Consider the following 23093-nt stretch of genomic DNA (forward strand, 5'->3'; position numbering starts at 1 on the left):
TCCTGGGGTGACTAGAGTGTCAGTGGCTTCCACAGAGTGTAAGTCCACCCTGCCCTCAGAATCAGTGTGACCTGCCAGGTGAGAGCTTGGAAACCATGAGGTGACCTCTCAGGCCAGAACTTGACCCTTTATCAGTTGTATTAATAAAAACTAACTTTTTTTTGAGACAAGTTCTCGCTCTGTCATCCAGGCTGGAGTGCAGTGGTGCAGTCACACTTCCTGGCCTCAACCGATCCTCTCACCTCAGCCTCTCGAATAGCTGGGACTACAGGTGTGTGCCACCACGCCCAGCTAATTTTTTGTATTTTCTGTAGAGATGGAATTTTGCCATGTTGCTCAGGCTTATCTTGAACTCCTGGGTCAAGCAATCTGCCCACTTTGGCCTCTCAAAGTGCCAAGATTACAGGCATGAGCCACCATGCCCAGCCAACAAAAACTAGTACTTTTGAATGCCTACTACAAGCCAGGGACTATGAGTGCTTTACACATAAGAACTCACTTCAACTCCACAGCAACCCCAGGAGCAAGGTCCTGCTATTAGTCTCATTTTACAGAAAAAGCCGCCGAGGCACAGAGATGAGAAGTGACGCTCCTGAGTTCACACAGGTGGGCAGTGGTAGAACTGGGGTTTCAAAGTTTATGTTCCCCCCTCCTGGATGTCAACACACCTTTCTGGACAGGACCCATGCTCTGAAGCTGGGAATTATTTGGTGGAAGTGTTCAAATTCTCCAGGCATAGTGGCTCGGCCTGTAATCCCAGCATTTGGGAGGCCGAAGTGGGAGGATCACTTGAGCGCAGGAGTTCAAGATCAGCCTGGGCAACATGGCAAGACCCCTGTGTCCAGGGGGGAAAATGTGTTCAAATTCCTCAGTACTTGCCAATATATTTTTAAACAATGAGGCTTTCCTTCCCTCCCTCTCAGCTGATTATAAAAGTAGTATATCTTTATTGAAGAGGAAAATATGCAGAAATCAGTCATGCTCCCTGCACCCAGCCCTCAGGGTGGCTAAGATTAGCGGTGGGCCCTCTCGCTCACCTGCAGCCACCACATCCTGGCTGTGTGGGTGGACGTGTGCGTCTCCTCTCCCCGGAGTCGGAGCTGCCCTGGCCCAGGTTTCAGCCTCTCTGGCTGCGGCTTGGCTGGGCTGGCCTCACTGGCAGGCATTTTGGAGACAGTTCAGACATCGCGAGTACACATTCCTCAGCTTCGCCTCACACTCTCCACCAGATTGGTATTAACGCTGGGAGCGTAAAATTGGAATCGGCTGGAGGAAGGGGAGTCGGCACTTTCGTCTGAGTTTTACAAGCATATGTGCTGGCTGAGCCAGGCCTCTGAGGCTAGAGCCCTTGGCATATGCTTCCTGGCCCATTTCCCACCCACCCACCTCTACACACACACACACGCACACATCTGCACATACACACACACACACACACACACATGACGTGGCTGATTCAGCCTTTCAGCCCTGCTACAGCCAGAACCCCAGGGTGGCAGCAGCACGAGAGAAGCCTCCATCTTGGGTTCACCCAATGTCGTTTTGCTAAGGATACACTCACTCACTCATTCACTCATTCATTCATTCATGCACGTGTGCATTTATGCATCCGCCACCCATATGGGCCCTGTCTCCTGGACCAGGCTCTGGTCTTGGCCTGTGAGCAGTGCTGACTCAGCAGCTTCTGTTTTAGAACCCACATTCTAAAGGGCGTGGACCATGAATAGATAAGAATTTCAGAGGGCAATGAGGGCTGTGAAGACCAGGAATCTGGGTGGCTCCAGAGTGCCTGCCGGGGCTATATGAGATCAGGTGCTCAGGGACAGTTAGATGGAAGCCAGAAAGACAGACTCGGCGCAGTGGCTCACCCCTGTAATCCCAGCACTTTGGGAGGCTGAGTCAGGTGGAACACCTGGGATCGGGAGTTCGAGGCCAGCCTGGCCAACATGGTGAAACACCGTCTTTATTAAAAATACAAAGTTAGAACGGGTGTAGTGCCTCACACCTGTAATCCCAGCAGTTTGGGAGGCTGAGGCGGGTGGGTCACCTGAGATTGGGAGTTCGAGACCAGCCTGACCAACACAGAGAAACTCCGTCTCTACTAAAAATACAAAATTAGCTGGACGTGGTGGTGCTTGCCTGTAATCCCAGCTACTCAGGAGGCTAAGGCAGGAGAATTGCTTGAACTCGGGAGGCAGAGGTTGCAGCGGGCCAAGATCACGCTATTGCACTCCAGCCTGGGCGACAGAGTGAGACTCCATCTTAAAAAAAACAAAACAAACAAACAAACACCCACACACACAAGCAGGGCCACACCCCATGGAGAAAGGAGAGCAGGGCGCTATAGGCAGGGAGTGGAGGTGCAGAGGCCCTGTGGGGTGAGGCTGGGCACTTTAAAGGAACCAAAGGGAAGCACGTGGAGGGAGGAGGGAAGGTAGGGCTAGATGGCAGGAGGCCTGACAGGTCTTGGGAGGACTGCATTTCATGGTATTATTGAAGGAGAGGCTTTCCCAGAAGCAGCCAGCACTGAGGTGTCCTCATTCCTGTTCCTGGTATGAGAAAAATCTTTTCTATTTTACTAATGGAACAAAGCAGGCCACAGAGGTGCTGCCTTGTCTGAGATGGCACTGTAGTCCCCACCTCTGCTGCCTTTAGCCATGTACACACGTGCATACGCACACTAACACATGCCCATACATGTACTGAGCACAGAGACAGTATGAAAAGACAGACACCAGAGGTCACAAATGGGTGAGTTACATTTTACTGGGCCTGAACAGTATTTTTTTTTAAAGTGTAGATTTATTGCTAACATTGAATAAAACAAGATTTTTCGTAAAATCTGAATGTCCTTTTTAAAATGATAGTGTCTGAGATTTGATGGGCTCTTAATATGTACTAAGCACTCTACTTGTTGAATAAGGTTAGTGTTTTTGTTTTTTGAAATGGAGCTTGCCCTGTCCCCCAGGCTGGAATGCAGTGTCATGATCTCAGCTCACTGCAACCTCTGCCTCCCGGGTTCAAGTAATTCTCGTACCTTAGTCTCCCGAGTAGCTGGGAATACAGGCATGCACCACCACACTCGGCTAATTTTTTTTGTATTTTTAATAGAGATGGGGTTTCGCCATGCTGGCCAGGCTGGTCTCAAACTCCTGGCCTCAAGTGATCAGCCTGCCTTGGCCTCCCAAAGTGCTGGGATTATAGGCATGAGAGCTATTCCACCTGGCCAAGGTTGATACTGTTTTTAATCCCCATTTTTCAGATAATAAAATGGAGGCTGATAGAAGTTAAGTAACTTGCCAAAAGGCACACAAGTAACTGTTGAGAGGTAGAATTTGGATTCTAATCCAGAGAGTCTGATCATAGCTCACTGCAGCCTTGAACTCCTGGGCTCAAGTGATCCTCCTGCCCCAGCATCCTGAGTAGCTGGAACTACAGGCACATGCCACCATGCCTGGCTAATTTTTCAATTTTTTGTAGAGATGGGGTTTTACCATGTTGCCCAGGCTGGTCTTAAATTCCTGGCCTCAAGTGACCCTCCCTGGCTTCAGCCTCCCAAAGTATTGAGATTACAGTCATGAGGTACCATGCCCAGCCAGAATTCTTTTTTTATTTATTTTAATTTTATTTATTTTTAAGTTTTTAAACTTTTTATTTGCATATTTAAAAAATTGTGCATTCCAATAATTAAAATCATTTGAACAACAAGAAAAAAATGGCACTCTGATTAAACTGCATTACAGCCTGCAGGACACCTTGGGCCAGCTTGGTTTTACTTTAGATTTCACTGTTGTCCCACCCCACTTCTTCCTTCACCAACATGCAAGTTCTTTCCTTCCCTGCCAGCCAGATAGACAGATGGGAGAGGCAGTCGCGGCCTTCGTTGTCAGTAGTTCTTTGATGTGAAAGGGGCAGCACAGTCATTTAAACTTGATCCAACCTCTTTGCATCTTACAGAGTTAAACAGCTAAAAGAAGTAAAATAAGAAGGCAATGCTTGTGGAATGTACAGTGCATATTGACGGCACACGCCTCATTACGATTCGCCTGCTTGCTTCTCCTGTTCAATCGTTTCTTTGGAAGGCAGTGGATTTTTCTCTTGCGTCTCTGTCTTCTTCAGTTTCGACTTATCGAATTTCTCGATCTCAGCCATATCGGATTTGTCAGACATGGTTACGGAGGAGAAGCGGAGCGAGGCACGCGAGAACGAGCGAAGTCTGGTCTGCGTAGTGGCCACCACTGAGTTGTCCAATTTTATTTATTTTTTTGAGACGGAGTTTCACTCTTGTCGCGCAGGCTGGACTGCAATGGCGCGATCTCAGCTCACTGCAACCTCCGCCTCCCGGGTTCAAGTAATTTTCCTGTCTCAGCCTCCCGAGTAGCTGGGATTACGGGCATGTGCCACCATGTCCGGCTACTTTTTGTATTTTTAGCAGAGACGCAGTTTCACCATGTTGGCCAGGCTGGTCTTGAACTCCTGACCTCAGGTGATCTACCCGCCTCAGCCTCCCAAAGTGCTGGGATTACAGGCGTGAGCCACCGCACCCCTTTTTCTTCTTGAAACTGGCAGCTCTGCACTTGAGGCCTGGAGCTGAGTGGTCCCTGTGGGCCTGGACTCAGCTTTCTGGTTGACCCTGCTTCCCATTAGGCCCCCTTTACCTGCTTGTTTCCTGCCAGGCCCTTGGTGGCTTCTGAGTTCGAATATACAGCACATCCACTATTAAAATGAGCAATTGTGTGTCCTTAACGTAGATGAAAAGTACAAATAAATAAATAAGCATTTGGGCTATTTCTATAAAATCAACTTTTAACAAAAAAGGCTTTGAAATCTGATGAATGTGCCCTGAGACCCCCGCCCCTGCCCCTGCCACTTCCTGACTTTGTGACTTTGAGCAGGTGACCCAGCCTCTCTGAGCCTTGATTTCCCTCCCCTCTAAAATGGAGGCTAAGAACAGGGTCCCTATGGGGAAAAAGCAAGAGGCCACCAGCGGGAGCTGTGACCGTTGTCAGGGTTTCTGCAGGTGCCCCTCCAGCTAAGCAGGCCCTGCTGCCTTGCAGGGAGCCCCATTGGAGGGAGGCTGGTCGCAGTGATGAAAGGCCTGGAGTCCCCACCAGCCCAGGGAGTGTGGCCAGGAATGGGCTCCAGCCTGCACAGATGCGGCATCATGGCTTCTCCGTGTCCCTCAGGCCTTCGTCAAGATGGTTGGACACCACGTCGCCTTCCTGGAAGCAGACGTGCTTCAGGCTGAGCGGGACCATGGGGCCTTCCCTCAGGCCCTGCGGAGGTGGCTGGGATCCGCAGGGCTCCCCTCCTTCAGGAACGTGAGTATCCTGCCCCGAGAAGTGAGGGGAGGGCCTCTCCCCCTTCGCTCCGCAGACCCCAGCGTGGGGAGGAGCATGCAGGAAGCAGAGTTCAGGGGGGCACATTTCACTTCTGCAGACAGGAAACGGGTACAGGCGGCCAGGCACCTCAGCCTTTCTCTGTCCCCTGTGAGCCCTGGGCTGTGACGGTTCGTGTGCTCATGTACCATTTATTGGGCGCCTACTGTTTGCTGAGTGCCATCTGAGGTTACTGTGGTGAGCAGAAACAGCTCCCGCCCTCCTGCCCATCCTTGCACACTTAGGGACAGTGCCCAGGATGACATCTAGAATTCCGGCCAGGTTGCCCTTCCTGAGGCAGGAGTCAGCCTCAAGCTGGCCCAACAAGCCGGGGAAGGGGGACGGGCGTCCCTCCTGCATATGGCTCTTTGTGGCCTGCAAAGGCTGTTCTCTTCCTCATCTCTCCTCTGTCTTCCTGGGATCCTCTCCGTGGCCCCGCAAGGAAGGAAGGATCATGTGTCCTTTTTGTCTTGTTTTGAAATGGGGTCTCACTCTGTCACCCAGGCTGGAGTGCAGTGGCGTGATCTCAGCTCACTGCAACCTTTGGCCTCCTGGGTTCAAGTGATTCTCCTACCTCAGCCTCCCAGGTAGCTGGGATTACAGGTGCACGTCACCATGCCCAGCTAATTTTTGTATTTTTAGTAGAGATGGGGTTTCACCATGTTGGCCAGGCTGGTCTCGAAGTCCTGACCTCAGGTGATCCACCTGCCTTGGCCTCCCAAAGTGCTGGGATTACAGGCATGAGCCACCGTGCCTGGCCAATCACCCTCAGTTTATAGGTGAGAAGACGGAGGCTCGGGGAAGGAGATAAGGGGACTTGTCTGAGGCCACGGGCCTGGAGCGCCTGTTTCTGGTGACTTGCCCCCTTCACAGGAAAGGTGTCACCTAGCGGGGCCTCTTGTGGCTCCTTGGGCTCTGCCTGCAGGTATCCCCTCTACTGCCCTGTCTCCACTGTTCCTACCTGTCCACACCTTATCTCCACTTTATCACAGCAGCCCATTTAGTGAGTGCTTTTTGTTTTTGAGATAGGATCTCATTCTGTCACCCAGACTGGAATGCAGGTGTGATCCTAGCTCATCGCAGCCTGGAACTCCTGGGCTCAAGTGATCCTCCCACCTTAGCCTCCCAAGTAGTTGGGACTGCAGGCACGCACCATCACACCTGGCTAATTTTTCTTTTTGTAGAGACAGAGGCTCGCTTTGCTGCCCAGGCTGGTCTCCATCTCTTGGACTTCAGCGATCCTCCTGCCTTGACTTCCCAAAGTGCTGAGATTACAGGCATGAGCTACCATGCCTGGCCTTATTGAGTGCTTACAAGGTTCCAGGCTCTGCGTTAGGCATTTTATATGCAGTAATTCATTTATCTTTCCCAGCCATCTTGTGTGCTGGGTACTAACAGTATCTCCATTTAACAGGTGAGGAAATGAAACTTCAGAAAGTGTCAGGGGTTCTGCCCGTGGGCAGAATTTGGCCCATGTCAACTCATTCTATTTGGCCAGGCAATGTATTTAAACATTGTGACTTGAAATGCCTGATAGGGCATGTGCTTTCCAGTCACAGGCTCCTGGCCTCATTGTACCTGCCTGAGGCATGTGCTGTTCACCTGCCTGAGGCATGTGCTGTTCACCTGCCTGCTTCCAGGTGAGTGTTTTGCCCAAGCTTGTAACAGCTGGACAGTGGCCTCCCAGATCTCATGGTCTAGGAACTCCTCTTGCTCCTTCAGAGACCAAGTTAAAGACATCTCCTGTGAGAAGCCCTCTGGGATTGCCCCTCTTCAGACAAACTCCATTTCTTTGCTTTCCAAAGACAATGAAGTCATGAACTGCATCCTTTGTCCTCTCCCTCAACTTATGGTGACCATTCCCGAGTGACATTTCCCACTGACGGCTTTAAAAGCACATTTGGGGCCGGGCACGGTGGCTTATGCTTGTAATACCAGCACTTTGGGAGGCCAAGGCATGTGGATCACTTGAGCCCAGGAGTTCAAGACCAGCCTGGGCAACATGGCAAAACCCCATTTATACAAAAAATAGAAAAGTTAGCTGGGCATGGTGGCGCATCCCTGTGGTCTCAGTTACTCAGGAGGCTGAGGTGGGTGGATCACTTGAGCCTAGCCTGGGAGGTGGAGGTTTCGGTGAGCCGAGATCGCATGACTGCACTCAGCCTAGGTAACAGAGTGAGGCCCTGTCTCACAAAAAAAAGCACATTAGGGGCCAGATGTGGTAGCTCATGGCTATAATCCCACCACTTTGGGGGGCCAAGGTGGGAGGATTGCTTGAGTTCAAGACCAGCCTTGGCAACAAAGCAAGACCTTGTCTCTACAAAAAAGTATCCAAGTGTGATGGCATGCACCTGTGGCCCTAGCTACTCAGGAGGCTGAGGTAGGAGGATCACTTGAGCCTAGGAGTTTGAGACTGCAATGAACCATGATCATGCCACTCACTACACTCTAGCCTGGACAACAGAACAAGACCCTATCTCTGAAAATTAAAAAAAACAAAAAACAAATTTAAGACACATGGGGGGCAGAAAGGACACAGGACCTTGGCTGCCCATGTCCTGTTAGAACCCAAGTATCCTAACAGTGGGTCCTGCCTGTCATTTAATACACTTCTTGCAGTCTGCACAGTCATCCCGATGAGGTTGGTGCTAGTGTTCCCATTTACAGAGGCAGAGACTGAGGCTTGGAGATGGAGAATCACCTATCCAGAGTCACTACTGGGTTTGGAATCCAGGCCTGTGGGGTGTGAAACTGAGGTCCCCCCAGCACTCCTGCTGCAGGGATGTGGCATCCCCCCCCGGGGTGTGGCTGGGGCATGCTGGGACCTGCACCCTCTCCTCTCCGCCACACTGGGCCTTGCTAAGCCTTGGAGAGCCCCCTAGACCTACCTGCAGTGACTTGTTCCAGGAAGCGCGTCCTGGCCAGGGGTGGGTGAGTCATTCAGCAACCCCAGTGTGTTGTTCTTGGCCCCACAAGGGCTTTGTCTGGGGGAGGTGGTGCAGCCTAGTGTGTGCGTATGTGTGTGCAGACCTGAAGGCTCCAGGGCTGTGGCTGCTCCAGGGTGTGAGCTGGAGGGGCCCTTGCAGAATGATGATCATCACCGCTGGTGTTGGGGCCGACTCTGTAGTCGCCTCACACCCCACCCTGTGAAGAGGGTGTGGTCATTGTTCCTGTTTTACAGATGAGGAAACCGAGTCACTGAGGGGTTAAGTTGCTTGCCCACCCAGAAAATGGTGGAGCTGGGATTTGAACTTGTGATGTCTGGGCCCAGAGCTGGTGCCCTGCACCCCATTGGTCCATTCTATGCCCTCCCTGACCGCCGGACCTGCTCTCTGGGAGGTGAGAGTCCTCGTAGGGTGCCCAGGCATTCTCAGTGTCTTCCATCTTGATTATTTCAAAGCTGGGATTTTGTGCCATCTGTAGTCAGTTCCCCTCAGCGCCTCCTCCCCCAGGGTGGACACCTCCTTTCCTTGACCCTGAAGGGCCATCACCCTCAGAGGCTGACATTCCAGTCTCCACCAAGGGCTTGGATCTCCACCAAGCCCTTCTCCCGGGGCCTGTTCCAATGCCCGGCATAGGTCTGAGAGGCCCAGGCAGCCGGGGGCTCGGAGAGCTTTGGTTTCTCTCCTGGTCTCTCCCCCAGGACCCCACTGCCCCCCTGAGGCAGGTGTTTGAGGCCTCCCCCGACCCCAGGCTGGCCCGAACAGTGACCATCCAGACGCAGCAGCCAGTCAGGGTGACCTGGCCATGTGGCGCCCCTGGGCTGTCTGTTCCTCACCCACCCGTGCTGCCTCCAAAGGGTCCATGGAGTGGAGAGGGCTGAGGTGGGACAAGGATATTGGGTGGCCCCACGGGAATGCTGGCATGGGCTTCTGCCCCCATGGGAGGAGCCACACCACTCACCAGAGGCGCAGCCCCCAGAGAGGGCAGGCTGCCCGCTGCCCAGGTGACTTGGTGCTGGTGTGGACATTGCCTGTGGCCTGGGCTGGCCCGAGGGGTCCGGTGCAGGAAGTGACCTGTGGATACTAGCGATCCCCCTCAGCCAGCTTTCCGACTGGATCCTGGCCTCTCAGCCCTACCTTTGAGCTGCCTGAGAAAGAGGCATTTGCTCCACAGACGGAGCCAGCCTGTGCCCCAGGCCCTTGGCACCCAGCCACAAAAATGTACGCATGACCATGCTACAACACATGTATTTCATGGCACAAAAGTCCACATTTTCATGCTGCACTATATAAACGAAAAGTTTTTAGTTATGCTTTTATATTGATCGTTATAACATTGTGAGGTTTTAATAAGAATTGCCCCTCTCTTTTATTGTAGCTAAGCCCCTTCTGTGACATGTCTTAGCTGTGTGACCATGGGCAAGTCTCTTAGCCTTTGTAAGCCTCAGAGACAGCCAGGCACAGTGGCTTCCACCCATAATCCCAGCACTTTGGGAGGCCAGGGTGGGAGGATCACTTGAGCTGGGAACTACATAGGGAGACCACGTCTCTAATTTACTAGATATTATTAAAATAATACCTTTTTGAGATCTTAACGTTATTTTGAATTGTTCCGAGATGGCTTCTCAGTGACCTCAGAATAAAATCCAAACTCCTTGTCATGGCCTGCAAGAGGGTGCATGATCTGGTCACGTTCAGTCTCTCTCTCTTTTTTTTTTTTTTTTTTTTTTTTTTGAGACAGTCTCACTCTGTCGCACAGGCTGGAGTGCAGTGGTGCAATCTTGGCTCACTGCAACCTCCGCCTCTCGGGTTCAAGCGATTCTCCTGCCTCAGCCTCCTGAGTAGCTGGGATTACATGCACCCACCACCACGCCAGGCTAATTTTTGTATTTTTAGTAGAGACAGGGTTTTGCCATGTTGGCCAGGCTGGTCTCGAACTCCTGACTTCAGGTGATCTGCCCACCTCGGCCTCCCAAAGTGCTGGGATTACAGGCGTGACCCACGACGCCCAGCTTAAAATAATATCTTTAAAGTTCAAAAAAAAATTAAGCCTCAGAGAGTCTGACTGAGTCAGTGAGCCGGCACGGGCAGGTTCATGAGAGGCTTTGCTTGCTAGAAAACTGTTTGGATTTGATGGAAAATGATGAGGGCCCACGCTAAAGCAGAGGAGGAAAGCTCCGGAACTCTCAGGAGGGATTCCGAGCATGGAGCGGAAGAGCGTCGGCCACCTGAAAAGCCAGCCGGTAGAGTGATCTCAGCTCACTGCAACCTCCGCTTCCTGGGGTCAAGCGATTCTCCTGCCTCAGCCTCCCGAGTAGCTGGGATTACAGGCGCGCACCACAATGCCTGGCTAATTTTTGTATTTTTAGTAGAGACGGAGTTTCGACACATTGGCCAAGTTGGTCTCGAACTCCTGACCTCAAGTGATCCACCCACCTCGGCCTCCCAAAGTGTCGGGATTATAGGTGTGAGCCGCTGCACCCGGTTGAAAAGCCAGCTTTGCTTGTGAGGAATGGAGTGGTCCAGGACAGACTCAACACTTAGTGCTCAGCGGTGAGCGGGAATCACGGGGCAGCTGACAGAGCCAGCCCTGCTGTGCCAGGCACTGTTTTCAGCTTGTCAATCCTCATAACATCCCACAAGGGAGGTGCTATTTCTATCTCCATCTTACAGCTGAGGAAACTGAGGCATAGAGAGGGTAAGTAACTTACCCAGGATCACACAGTTGGACATGAGGATATGAATCCACGTTCTTCTTTCCATCACATATTGCCTTGGTAGAGAGCTGTGATCTCTTCAGGGAGCTTGTGTCTGGTGCAAGAATACAGACAGTGACCAAATTCAAAGAAAATTCAGTTACAGGTGGGACACGGTGGCTCACGCCTGTAATCCCAGCACTTTGGGAGGCCTAGGTGGGTGGGTCACTTGAGCCCAGGAGTTCCAGACCAGCCTGGGCAATATGCGAAACCCCATCTCTACCAAAAAAAATACAAAACTTTGCCAGGGGTGGTGGTGCATGCCTGTATTCCCAGCTACTCAGGAGGTGGAAGGATCACTTGAGCACAGGAGGTCAAGGCTGCAGTGAGCCATAATCGTACCACTGCTCTCCATCCTGGGAAACAGAGCAAGACTCTGTCTCAAACAATAGCAACAACAACAAAAAAAAACAGAAAATTCAGTTAGATGGCTGTTTCTAAAGGGGGCCCTTTAGCTGGGCATGGTAGTGCGTGCCTGTGGTCCCAGCTACTTGGGAGGCTGGGGTGGGAAGATTGCTTGAGCCCAGGAGTTCAAGGCTGCAGTGAGTCGAGATTGCACCACTGCACTCCAGCCTGGGTGACAGAGTGAGACCCTGTCTCTGCAAAATAAAATGTACAAAAAATTAAAAGGGATCCCAGGTCTGAGGGGTCAGGAGTGGCCTCTGAGGAGGGGCTGTGGAAGCTGAGAGCTAGATGATGAGTAAGTGTGGGTGTGGAGTCAGAAGAAAGAGCGCTCCCGGCCAAGGGAACTGCCATTGCAGAATCTCTGCAACACACCTGAGCTTGGTGCTTGAGAAATTGCTAGTCCAGCGTGGGCTGCCTGCATGAGCCAGGGCAGAGTGGAGAGAGAGAAGGTCTGGGAGGTAGCAGGGACCAGATTGTGCAGGGTCTCAAGGCCACACAGAGGAATTTAACACTATTCTAAGGGCGATTCTTGTAGCAGGGGAGGGACTTGGCCAAATTTGCTTCACTTGGCAAGAAACCAGGGCTCGTTCTCTGCTCTGAGCTCAGGCTGGCATTCGGGGTCTGTGACGTCTTAGGACTTGAACACCAGAGCTGAGCAGGGCACGTGGGTGCCCTCCAGGCTGCAGGTTTGGTTGTTTGGAATGTTTCCTCCCCTGGAAATATCTAATGCTGTGCCCTGAGCTCTCTGGAATCCTCCCCTTGCCAGGTCTCAGGGCCCTTGTCCGGTCAGAGGAAAGAAAAGAGTCTCCAGAAAGGGGCCCAGGTCTTCCAGACAAATGTCCCTGAGACCCTGCTAGAGGGGGCAGCCATCAGCCCAGCGCCTGCTTGCGGAGGGCCCCTCACATCTGGAGATGGTTTCAGGCATGTGCGGAAGTGAAAGTGTGAAATGGGGCTGGAGCCCTGCGGGCTGCGGACCTCGGAAGTGCACAGAGGCCACAGCAGGTGTCCCCTTGGCCGGGCCAGCTTCCTGCTGACCATGCCAGGCCGGCCCTCCTCCTGGCTCACGTGCCCAGGGGCACAGAGCAGCCTCACTAATTTGTTGTAAACCACTGTTTGTTTTCTGCCGCCAAAACATCTTGTTCACGAGGTGTCATTTTGATTAATTTTTCTGATGGAGAAGAACACGGTGCTTCCCAGGGAAGCTCTTTGGCTGACAGCAAAGCTGACTGGGCCAACTCCTGACTCCTGCACAGAGCGATGCTGCCCTGGGGGAGGGAAGCTTGGCTGGGACTCGGGGCTGCCTGGCCCACCTGTTCACCCCTACCCCCACCAGGGCAGCAGAGGCCTGGGGAGACCGTGCTTGCTGAGACCTTCCCAGAAAGAAAGATGGGCAGAGGGGCTGGAGGGGAGCCAGGGTGGCTTTGGAGCAAAGCAGAGCCAGGACAGGCAGGGTGTGAGATGTCACCTGGTCCCACAGTTGCAGCGCTCCCAGGGTGATCTGGTAACAGCAATGAGTGAGTGAGTCTTCTGGGCATGAGACAGGAGGGAGTGGTGGGGACTGTGGCGAATTGCAGACCCCATGCCTCGTGTACAGGAGTGGAACCTTTGCCTGGCGCCAGCCTCGCATAAATGGCGGCCAGTGGTCACCAGGTTTTCCTATATGGGGGAGAAAGCTGGACATTTGGAGGGTTTTTTGTTGTTGTTGTTTTTTGTTTTATGAATCTTCCCATGTCAAAAAGTCAGTATTTTTCTAACTGTTGAATACTGTGTGGAAAAACATGTTGTGGCTGGAGCAGTGGCTCACACCTGTAATCCCAGCACTTTGGAAGGCCAAGGCAGGAGGATCACTTGAGCCCAGGAGTTCGAGACCAGCCTGGGCAACACAGTGAGACCCTGTCTCTATTCTAAAAAATTAAAAATAATAAAACTGTGTTGTACCATGGGCTGCAGCCAGCATAGCCCCAGCTCTGGACTTTAGGCTGATGACCTGTACCTCTTCGTCCCCTCCACTGTGGAGGATTTGAGACCAGGGAGAAGTAGAGCGGCATCTTCTCCACTTTTATGCACCAGCCCTGGTTGGAACTCTTCAACTCTAAACAGCAACATGACTAACAGCCAATAGTTATATTGAGCCCCTACTGTATACGAAGGGCTTTCTGTGCCTCATCTCAATTTCCTGTAACAACACCAGAGGCAGATGCTATTATTCTAGTTTACAAAGAAAGGACCTGAGGCTCAGAGGGGGCTCTTCACTTGCTCAGAGTCACACAGTGTAACTGGCAGAGCTGGGATTTGATCCAGCTTTGACCTTGGTCAGCTGGTCAGGTGTGTCTCTACCTCCCTCTGTGAGCTTCCCAAGGGCAGGGACTGAAACTTCAACTGCCAAGGCTGCAAACTCGAGATCTTTGGGCTAGTTCTGCCTCAACCACACTTGCTCTTCGGCCAGCGTGGTATATGGATATATTTAACTTGAGTTAGTTGCCAAAAAGCAAATTTCATGTGAGATTTTTGAGGATGAGAGGGGAGGAAGTTCCTTCTGACAGCAAGTAGTTTTTATTTGGGGGGGTTGCTCTTTGTTGAGGCCTATCTGGAAGCACCCCAACTTTGCCCTTGTGGCTTCTCATGAAGAAGCAGAGGTTTGAGTGGGCCCCTGAGCGGCGTCCCTGCCCAGCCAGCATCTGGCCTACCGTGCTCACTCTTGGTGCCTGCTGGTGTGTTTGAGTCTCCCCCCCGGTAGAGCACATAGTAGGTGTTCAATAAATAGTCATCAGCAGATGTTCTGAAGGCTTCTTGCCTGCCTCCCAGATTTCTTAGGGGGCGTGTCCAGGCACTGGAAGGCTGGAGAGGATTTTCAAGGCTGTAAGGGAGGTAATGAGGCCATGGGCGGAGCTGCCCTGCCCGGGCTGCCTGTAGGAGTCGTCAGTGCCAGGCTCAGCGTGCTCCCCTCCCCAGCGACCCCCCCAGCTCCCGCCCCTTGCCTCCTCTCCCCTTCCTGTCCAGCCCTGCAAGTGGTGGGGGGTGCTGGGTCTCTCCCCTGCAGAATCCCCCTGCAGGAGGTGACTCGGGGAGGGAGCCCGACAGCTCAGCTTTATCTGGTGGTGGAGGCTGGGTAAGACACAAACAAGAAGGGAGAGGAAATTGTGAGGCGCCTTCTCCCGGCCCTGAACCAGCCACTGCTTCTCCTGCTGCCCCCATCAGCCCTTGCAGTAAAAATGCAGCAGGAGCAGATAGCAAATATGAGGACCACGACTGTGGAGGGCCGAGGGGTGCCGGGTCCCAGCCCCCACCTACCAGCCCCCTCCCCACGGCTCCCAGGGACCTCCCGGGTTCGTTTCCTTCAAGGTCTTTGGTGGAGTGCTATAGGGGGACGGAGGGTTCCTGGCAGGCTGGTTTGGGAATCAAATTGTGTTTTTCAGGCATTTCATTCTTGCTGAGATTTTGAGGATGAGAGGGGAGAAAGTTCCTTCCGACAACAAGAAGTTTTCATTTTTGGGGGGGTGCTGTTTGTTGGGCCCTATGTGGAAGCACCCCAACTTTGCCCTGGTTGGTGGGACCCTCAACATGCCCTTCTCTCAAAGCAGCACCACCGTCAGGGGCATCCCCTGTGGCAGCAGTGCCCTGGGCCCAGCCCTGCCATCCTGGGGTTGTTGGACATTGTTTGCGGCCTTTGCACATGCCGGTTCCCCTCCCTGGAAAACCCTTCCCGCTCCCCACCTGGCAATGTTCATTATTGTTCAAAGCCCCAGTCACACGGTCCCACCCCTGGGAAGCCGCCTGGGTTCCCCCAGCCAGCCTTCCTCTGGGGTCCCCTAACCCAAACCCTCGTTCATTGCCTGGCGGGCACATGGCCTCATCTGCATTTTCTCCTGTTGTTCCCCTAGCCTGAGAGCTGCTCAAGGGTGGGGCCTGTGTCTTGTCTTTGCCATGGTGATGAGAGTTCTGATGCTGCTGGAGTGTTCTGGGCTGTCTTTGGGCCACCACAAGCAGCACTTACCTGCCCTACTTGGTTCATCCCCAGGCCACCCGGTACGGAGTAACTGTCTCCATTCCGACTCTTCAGGTGAGGAAACCGAGGATCAGAGGAGTTAGAACATTTTAACAAAGCCAGGGCCTGGCCCATTTGATTCCAGAGTCCCACATTCTTCACACCCCAGGAACTGAAATTCAAACACTCACTGAGACCAGGCAAGGCCCTGAGTGATGCAGAGAGGCCAGGTTGGGGCTGTGACTGGCAGGGGAGGCGGGGCCCTCAGCTGCAGCCTGGAACAGAGACCAGAGTGGCCAGGCCTTGCGCTTTTTGTGGCTTTGTGTGTGTGTGTGTGTGTGTTTTCTTTTTTCTTTTTTATAGTTACACTCTGTTGCCCAGGCTGGAGTGCGGTGGCCTGATCTTAGCTCGCTGCAACCTCTTCCTCCCACGCTCAAGCAGTTCTCCTGCCTCAGCCTCCTAAGTAGCTGAGACTACAGGTGCCCGCCACCATGACTGGCTAATTTTTGTATTTTTAGTAGAGATGAGGTTTTGCCATGTTAGCCAGGCCGGTCTTGAACTCCTGACCCCAAGTGATCCGCCCATCTTGGTTTCCCAAAGTGCTGGGATTACAGGTGTGAACCACTGCACCCGGCCGAGGCCTTGCACATTTTAAAAGAGCGGATGCAGATTTTCTGTGAAATCAACTGATTTTGAAAACAGGTCTGAGAGGCTTAAATAAATCTCCTCAGGGCCCTTGGTTCAGGGGCCTGCATCTGGGCCTTGGCAATGATCTGCAGTGACCGGGCAGCACCCAGAGGACCCAGGACATGAACTCGTGGGTGGGTACCCACCTCTCCCTGCCCAGCCTGGCATTTGAGTCTCCTCAGCGGGGGACATCATCAAGGATGTGAGGGGTGCCAGGGCCCACGGCTGGTCTGGGTTCACTTTGCAAAAGGGGTTCTGGGTGAGTGCCAAGGGAGGCAGTTGGTGGGATCCCTCTACACCCCCCACATTCTTTCCACCTGGCACTCCTACTTTTTGAGCCAAACACATGATGTTTTCTTAGTCTTATATGAAGTGTCAATGAATGCAGCTAACAACATCCCCTTTCATTTTTTTTTTTTTTTTTTTTTTTGAGTCGTAGTCTTGCTCTGTCACCCTGGCTGGAGTGTAGTGGTGTGATCTCAGCTCACTGCAACCTCCGCCTCCCGGGTTCAACCAATTCTCCTGCCTCAGCTTCCCAAGTAGCTGGGACTACAGGCACATACCACCATGCCCAGCTAATTTTTGTATTTTTAGTAGAGACAGGGTTTCGCCATGTTAGCCAGGCTGGTCTCGAACTCTTGACCTCAAGTTATCTGCCTGCCTCAGCCTCCCAAAAGGATTACAGGTGTAAGCCACCTCACCCAGCCAACACCCCCCTTTCTAATCGGAATGTCACCTTCAGGGTCACTCATCATAGAGAAACTCTGTCCCTCGCAGCTCCTCGTATCATAATGCAAACCCCATTCGCCCTTAAGATTGCGGATCCAGTTCCTGTAGCATTTGGAGGGGGATAACCAAGAGCAAGGATGCAGACCAGGCCTCACAACCTCAGCACTGTGGACATTTGGGGCCAGGTCCTTCTTTGCTGTGGGGACCATTTTGTGTACTGGGGGGTGTTTTGTGTACTGGGGGTGTTTTGTGTACTGGGGGGTGTTTTGTGTACTGGGGGGTGTTTTGTGTACTGGGGGTGTTTTGTGTACTGGAGGGTGTTTTGTGTACTGGGGATGTTTTGTGTACTGGGAGGTGTTTTGTGTACTGGGGGGTGTTTTGTGCACTGTAGATGTTTTGTATACTCGGGGATGTTTTGTGCACTGGTGGGTGTTTTGCCGCATCTCTAGCCTCACTCGCTAGATGTACCCTCCCCGCAGTGTAACAACCAAAAAGGAGTCCATAAATTGCCAGCTGTCCCCGGGGGCAAAATTGCCCCGAGTTAAGGACCACTGGCCCAGAAGAATGACAGCTGTCAAGACTGGGTGATGGTACGTGGGGACTCATCATAGTCCCCTCATTGCTTTTATATGTTTCCTATAAATATGAAAAAGTTTCCTTATAAATATGGAAAAGAATACAAAGTTAAAAAATATATGAAAGCAGGAATTCTGGAGCCAAACAGTCCCGGGTTTTGTATCTTGGTGGTGCTGCTGGCCGGCTCCATGGCCTTGGGAGAGTCTCAACCTCCCCCTCTGTGAAATGGGTGGCAGTTCTCCAGCCTCATGGCCTCAGGTCGAGGATTTGAACGTGCATGATTTGCTTTCCATTTGGCAGCTTCTATGTAGCAGTATTCTGATGTGGGCGCTGTTCTAGCAGCTGAGGCGCATAAGTTGTGGAGAGTGGCGTGCTTTGTTGAGTATTCACGTGAGGCAGGCACCCGGACGCTCTGCGCTGACCTCATTACTCACCTGCTCAGCTGCTGTGTAGTGAGGCAAGTTGCTATCATTGGCCCCATTTTATAAAGAGCAACTGAGGCAGCAGGAGGTGGAGCTTCTCCCCACAGTCAGCGGGAGGAGGTAGAAGAGGTGTCCCCAGGCTGCCTGGCTCCAGAGCCTGCAGTCCTGAGCTCCAGGCTGCCTGAAGGGATTCACTTATGCACTTGGCACAGCGCTAGCACATAGTAGGTGCTCAGTTAGGGTGGGCTGCGAGGATTGCTTTTGTAGACAGCTCTCTCTGGAGGGGCTGATTGTTCCAAACCCCCCCCACCATGCGGCACCGTAGGTGTGTCTCTGACGTCTTCAAGGCTGCCAAAGCCAAGTCCTGAAGCTGCTTTTTACAGAATAACCTGTCGCCTGCTTCCTGCCATGCGCTGATGTCGGCCACCATGGATCTCGCCTGCAGGAATTGAATGGAGTGGCTCACTCGCCTCTGAGCTGCTGCCCATCTGGGTCAGCCCCTCCACACTGCTCATGCCAGGAGCACGCCGGTGCTCAGGGGTGGCCGGGTTCGTGGTGTGTCTCAAGCCATGCTGGGTCATGAGGGGTTGGGCTAGCCACGCCCACCTGGGCACACCCGCCAGGGGTGTCTTGGGTCCCACCTCTCCCACTTCCTCCCATCTTCAGCCCTCCATTCCATCTTGACCACTGGGGGAGGGGCCCAGGCAAGGCCCCACCCTCACCCCCAGCCCTGCTTGGTGGAGATTTCGGCCTCTGGCTCTGCATCCCCAACAATTCTGTTTCCTGCTGTCTCTCTTCCCATCTCCATCTCTGTTGGTATTCTGGTCTGTCTCTATCTTTGTGTCACTGCCTGGATCCATGTCTCTTGCGTTCATCTTGCTTGTCTCTGCGTCTCTCCATGTGTCTCTGCATCCCTATCTGTGCCACTCCATCTCCTCGTCTCTCCTGCCTGTGTCTCTGTCCCATGTCTCTCTGTGTGTCACCTACACAATCACAAACCTTCACTGTGCCCCCTGTCCCCCAGGCCACAATCCTCGCATCCCCCTTCGTGCCCCACCTCCACCTGCATCTCTGGCTCCTCCAAGAGACCTTCCTGGGACCCCTTCCTCCTCAGACTGGAAGGGGAAGGGGAAGGGTGTGGGCCGGCAGGGCTAGGACAGGTCTGAGTCTGTCTGCCGTCCACCAGCCTGGCCGGCCCAGGCTGGGCCGTGGGCACCCATTGCCCTTCTCTGAGCCCTGATGTCCACATCAGGGCATAAGTGCGCCCACAGGAGGGCCCCCCAGGGACGCTTTTGACTGTGTCACTAGAGAGCAACACTTGGTACGTGGGAACTGTTAGTAACAACAGCCATGAACCTGAGGATGAATAAATGGAGGACCTGGGTCCCCGCCTGGGCTTAGGGTCTCTCTGGAGAATAAAACTCACAGGCAGAAACTATCAGCGGATAATAACAAGGTGGGCTGCATGCATCTCACTTCCATGCCTCACAGAGAAAAAGAGGAACGAGCTCAAGGGAAGCTGCAGAGGACAGGCTGGGAAAGGCCTGCGGGAGGGAAGAGCCTGGCCCATGTGTGGCATTCGCAGCACAGCCCACGACAGGCTGCTGGGTCGCAGGCATTCCTGAGTGAGGTTGGGCCCGGCAGGGGATGGCAGGTGTGATCGGTGTCAGAACGCAGGTTCTGGAATCAAGCAGTGTGCAGAGGTGAGTCGTTTGTCAGTGCAGACTCCTGCCTGCTGCCTGCAGCTGTGGATTGGGTCTGGAAAAGGTGCAATCCCTTTGATGCCCACGGAGCCTGGGAAGTACTTGGCTCTGTTCCTGGTCAACTTTCTGCTGGGAAAATAAACCGTGTCTCATTAGGCAGTGAGTTCATCCCGATGCCTGTTCTGGCTGATAACATCACACCTTGTCATGCTGCCAGGCCCAAAGTCAAGGTCAAAGTTCCTGTTACTTAGGGAATCCTAATAATTAACCTGGGAACCTCAGCCGGAGAGGGAGATGCTGGTTTTTAAATGGAGTGAGAAGCTGGAGCAGGGAGGTGGCTGTTTCGGGGCTGGGCATCTCCAAGCACCAATTTCAAGGTGCCACCCTGATCAGGATTGGTGATCACAGTCTTCCAGCCTCCTTGTCCCTTTTGTGTCTGGTAGCTCTTTGCTGGCCTAGACCTGGCTCCAGAGGCCTTGGGCAGTGCCCCTGGAAGTGTGTGCATTGGTACGGGGCAGGAGGGGCTCAGATGACAGTGGTCAGTGCTTGGAGAGACATGGGGGCGCTGCTTGCAGGGCTGCCTGCCAGCATCTTTGTGCCTGACATGTGGCCTCCTATAAGCTCTCACTCTCTGGCCAGCAGTCATTTATTGAGCACCTACTGTGTGCCAGGCCCTCTGATTGATTGATTGATGAGTCACATCACTTAGTGGCTGAGAGATGTTCTGGCACTTGTAATTTTCAAGCCTCCTTGTAAGTTAAACATTGAAGCAGTATCAGAACTGGCTCCCGTAACTGTGATTTAGTTTAAATGTTCATATTTTGAAACTGAATGCATTTAATTACTTAAAATGCAACATTATAACATTGTACGTTTGTGCTGTTCACAAGCTAATGATGGCATTTTAGAAGCATATGAATTCAGGGAGCCCTGTTCAGAATGAAATGAGCCTTCACTCATTGAGCAGTATTTTCTTCCTTTTTTTTGAGACAGAGTTTCGCTCTTGTTGCCCAGGCCGGAGTGCAATGGCGCGATCTCAGCTCACCGCAACCTGGGCCTCCCGGGTTCAAGCAATTTTCCTGCCCCAGCCTCCCGAGTAGCTGGGATTACAGGCATGCGCCACCACACCTGGCTAATTTTGTATTTTTAGTGGAGACGGGGTTTCTCCATGCTGGTCAGACTGGTCTTGAACTCCGGACCTCAGGTGATCCGCCTGCCTCAGCCTCCCAAAGTGCTGGGATTACAGGCTTGAGCCACCTCACCCAGCTGAACGCTATTTTCTAAGCACTTTCCGTTATATGAGCATAATGCCCTATGAGGTAGGAGCAATTATTAGCCCCCATTTTTAGATGAGAAAACAGAGGCACAGAGAGGTTAGTAACTTGGCCAAGGTCACACAGCTAGGAAGGGGGACCGCTGCCATCTGAGGGATTTGGAAATGGGACAGTTTACTGCGCTGGATGAAGGGACTCTGCTCTCAATGCTAGCAGCTCTGGGGCTTTGGTGGGGGATGTCAAAGTGCAAATTCGAGGTCCTCTGTGACCCCCACCTCCACTTCCACCCTTATTCCCATAAGCAACATGAGTCTCACTGAGGGAATGGGCAGGTAGTGGGAAGCCTCTAAGGCTTTGTGCCCTGAGAAGTGAGTTATTCCCCATCAGCAGTCCCCCATTTCTGGTTCTGTTGAGAATGTCCATGGTGGGGTGAGGGTGGGCGGCTCAGCCAGCAGGATGTTCTCCTCTTTCCCTCTGTCTCTAGGGTTCTTGAGCCTGGAGACCACCCCACAGTGTTGCTGCCTGGAGCTTCCTTCCATCCACCTCCATGCCCATCCCGTCCCCACACAGTCCCCTCTTAGCCTGCTTGTCTGCTCCGGGAGCTGCCAAGAACTAGCAACTCCAGCCCCTGGGCCAGGCTTAACTCTGCTGCCAAACCTCCACCCCATCTTCATTCATTCATTCATTCAAGTTAGTACAGTAATCCCTGGTATCCATGGGGCTTGGCTCCAGGAACCCCTTTCAGTTATCAAAAATCCATGGGTGCTTGAGTCTCTAATACAGAGAATATATAGAGAGAATTTGCATATAACTTACATACATCCTTCCATATACTCTAAATCATCTCTAGATTACTTATAATACCTAATACAAAGTAAATGCTGGACGGGCATGGTGGCTCACACCTGTAATCCCAGCACTTTGGGAGGCCGAGGTGGGTGGATCATCTGAGGTCAAGAGTTTGAGACCAGCCTGGCCAACATGGTGAAACCCTGTCTGTACTAAAAATAGAAAAATTAGCCGGGCATGGTGGCAAGCGCCTGTAATCTCAGCTACTTGGGAGGGTGAGGCAGGAGAATCACTTGAAACCAAGAGCCAGAGGTTGCAGTGAGCCAAGATCGCGCCATTGTGCTCCAGCCTGGGTGACTGAGTGAGACTCTGTCTCAAAAACAAAAAAACAAAGTAAATGCTATATAGATAGCTGTTACACTGTATTGTTTGGGGAATAATGACCAAAAATCAGAACATGTTCAGTACAGATACAACCATCCTTTTTTTTTTTTCTTGAATTTTTTTTTTTTTTTTTTTGGTGAGACAGTCACTCTTTCGCCCAGGCTGGAATGCAGTGACACAGATCATAGCTCACTGCAGCCTCAAACTTCTGGGCTCGAGCAATCCTACCACCTCAGCCTCCTGAGTAGCTGGGACTACAGGGATGTGCCACCACGCCTGGCTAACTTTTGTATTTTTTGTAGAGACAGGCTCTTGCTATTATTATTATTATTATTATTGTGTGACACAGAATCTTGCCCTGTCACCCAGGCTGGAGTGCAGTGGTGAGATCTCAGCTCACTGCAGCCTTGACCTCCTGGGCTCAAGCAATCCTCCCACCTCAGCCCCCCGCAAGTAGCTGAGAGACTACAGGTGTGCCACCATGCCCGGCTAATTTATTATTATTATTATTAATGTAGAGACAATGTCTTGCTATGTTGCCCAGGCTGGTCTGAACTCCTGGGCTCCAGTGATCCTTCCGCCTTGACCTCCCAAAGGGCTGAGATTACAGGCTTGAGCGACCACGCCTAGCCTCGGTTTTGAATATTTTTGATTCATGTTGGTTGAACGCATGGATGTGGAACCCACGGATGTGGAGGGCCGACTGCACTTATCTTTGAACCACCTGTGTGAGCTAGGCACTGTTCAGACCCTTGGCGTGGAAGGAGTAGAGGCCGCCTGCTCCTGGCCCTGGCGATGGCCTAGTGTGTGATATGCCCCAGGGAGAGCCCTGTAAGGAAGGGAAAGGAGAGGTGTCTGAGGAGGAGGAGACAGGGGCCAGGGAGAGCCTCTGGGGAGGTGACTTGAGAGCCAGGTGGCTGGTGCTCTGGGGGAGGGAAGAAGTGGAGGGAGTAGGCTCTGGGGCCAGTGGGAGGCTCAGCCTGGAGGCTCTGAGACCTGCTCAGCCCTTGTTTTACTGGGACCGCTCTGCTGCATGTAGAGGGAAGATGCCAGGTGTGCGGTG

The 23093-nt window shown here is 52.6% G+C and overlaps 1 protein-coding gene and 1 pseudogene across 5 annotated transcripts in view, besides 6 other annotated features; one reads left to right on the forward strand and one right to left on the reverse strand.

The window, feature by feature from the left end:
• Positions 1 to 23093, forward strand: part of BCAS4 (breast carcinoma amplified sequence 4) — an 87783-nt gene that overhangs the window by 41686 nt on the left and 23004 nt on the right. For 3 of the 5 annotated variants that reach the window (XM_011528887.3, NM_017843.4, NM_198799.4), the window contains exon 4: positions 5187 to 5321. The exons of 1 other annotated variant lie outside the window; for it this stretch is intronic. In XM_011528887.3, coding sequence (XP_011527189.1) covers positions 5187 to 5321 — 135 coding nt within the window. Of the gene's footprint in view, positions 1 to 5186; positions 5322 to 15362; positions 15542 to 23093 lie in introns of all 5 variants that reach the window. One more of the 5 variants, XM_011528886.3, reaches the window with a different exon arrangement.
• Positions 724 to 1552: an enhancer, noted in NCBI's record as "H3K27ac-H3K4me1 hESC enhancer chr20:49453840-49454668 (GRCh37/hg19 assembly coordinates)". NCBI's record gives its function as "activates a minimal SCP1, AML or CMV promoter by ChIP-STARR-seq in primed H9 embryonic stem cells {active_cell/tissue: H9 hESC(primed)}" and the evidence as "EXISTENCE:reporter gene assay evidence [ECO:0000049][PMID:30033119]".
• Positions 1011 to 1090: a silencer, noted in NCBI's record as "silent region_13029". NCBI's record gives its function as "represses an Ori minimal core promoter by ATAC-STARR-seq in GM12878 lymphoblastoid cells {active_cell/tissue: GM12878}" and the evidence as "EXISTENCE:reporter gene assay evidence [ECO:0000049][PMID:35858748]".
• Positions 1351 to 1400: a silencer, noted in NCBI's record as "silent region_13030". NCBI's record gives its function as "represses an Ori minimal core promoter by ATAC-STARR-seq in GM12878 lymphoblastoid cells {active_cell/tissue: GM12878}" and the evidence as "EXISTENCE:reporter gene assay evidence [ECO:0000049][PMID:35858748]".
• Positions 3640 to 4245, reverse strand: TMSB4XP6 (TMSB4X pseudogene 6; annotated as a pseudogene).
• Positions 8122 to 8601: an enhancer, noted in NCBI's record as "active region_18106". NCBI's record gives its function as "activates an Ori minimal core promoter by ATAC-STARR-seq in GM12878 lymphoblastoid cells {active_cell/tissue: GM12878}" and the evidence as "EXISTENCE:reporter gene assay evidence [ECO:0000049][PMID:35858748]".
• Positions 11867 to 12475: an enhancer, noted in NCBI's record as "H3K4me1 hESC enhancer chr20:49464983-49465591 (GRCh37/hg19 assembly coordinates)". NCBI's record gives its function as "activates a minimal SCP1, AML or CMV promoter by ChIP-STARR-seq in primed H9 embryonic stem cells {active_cell/tissue: H9 hESC(primed)}" and the evidence as "EXISTENCE:reporter gene assay evidence [ECO:0000049][PMID:30033119]".
• Positions 12476 to 13083: an enhancer, noted in NCBI's record as "H3K4me1 hESC enhancer chr20:49465592-49466199 (GRCh37/hg19 assembly coordinates)". NCBI's record gives its function as "activates a minimal SCP1, AML or CMV promoter by ChIP-STARR-seq in primed H9 embryonic stem cells {active_cell/tissue: H9 hESC(primed)}" and the evidence as "EXISTENCE:reporter gene assay evidence [ECO:0000049][PMID:30033119]".

Source organism: Homo sapiens, chromosome 20, assembly GCF_000001405.40.
Source record: "Homo sapiens chromosome 20, GRCh38.p14 Primary Assembly".
NCBI classification, from domain to species: domain Eukaryota; kingdom Metazoa; phylum Chordata; class Mammalia; order Primates; family Hominidae; genus Homo; species Homo sapiens.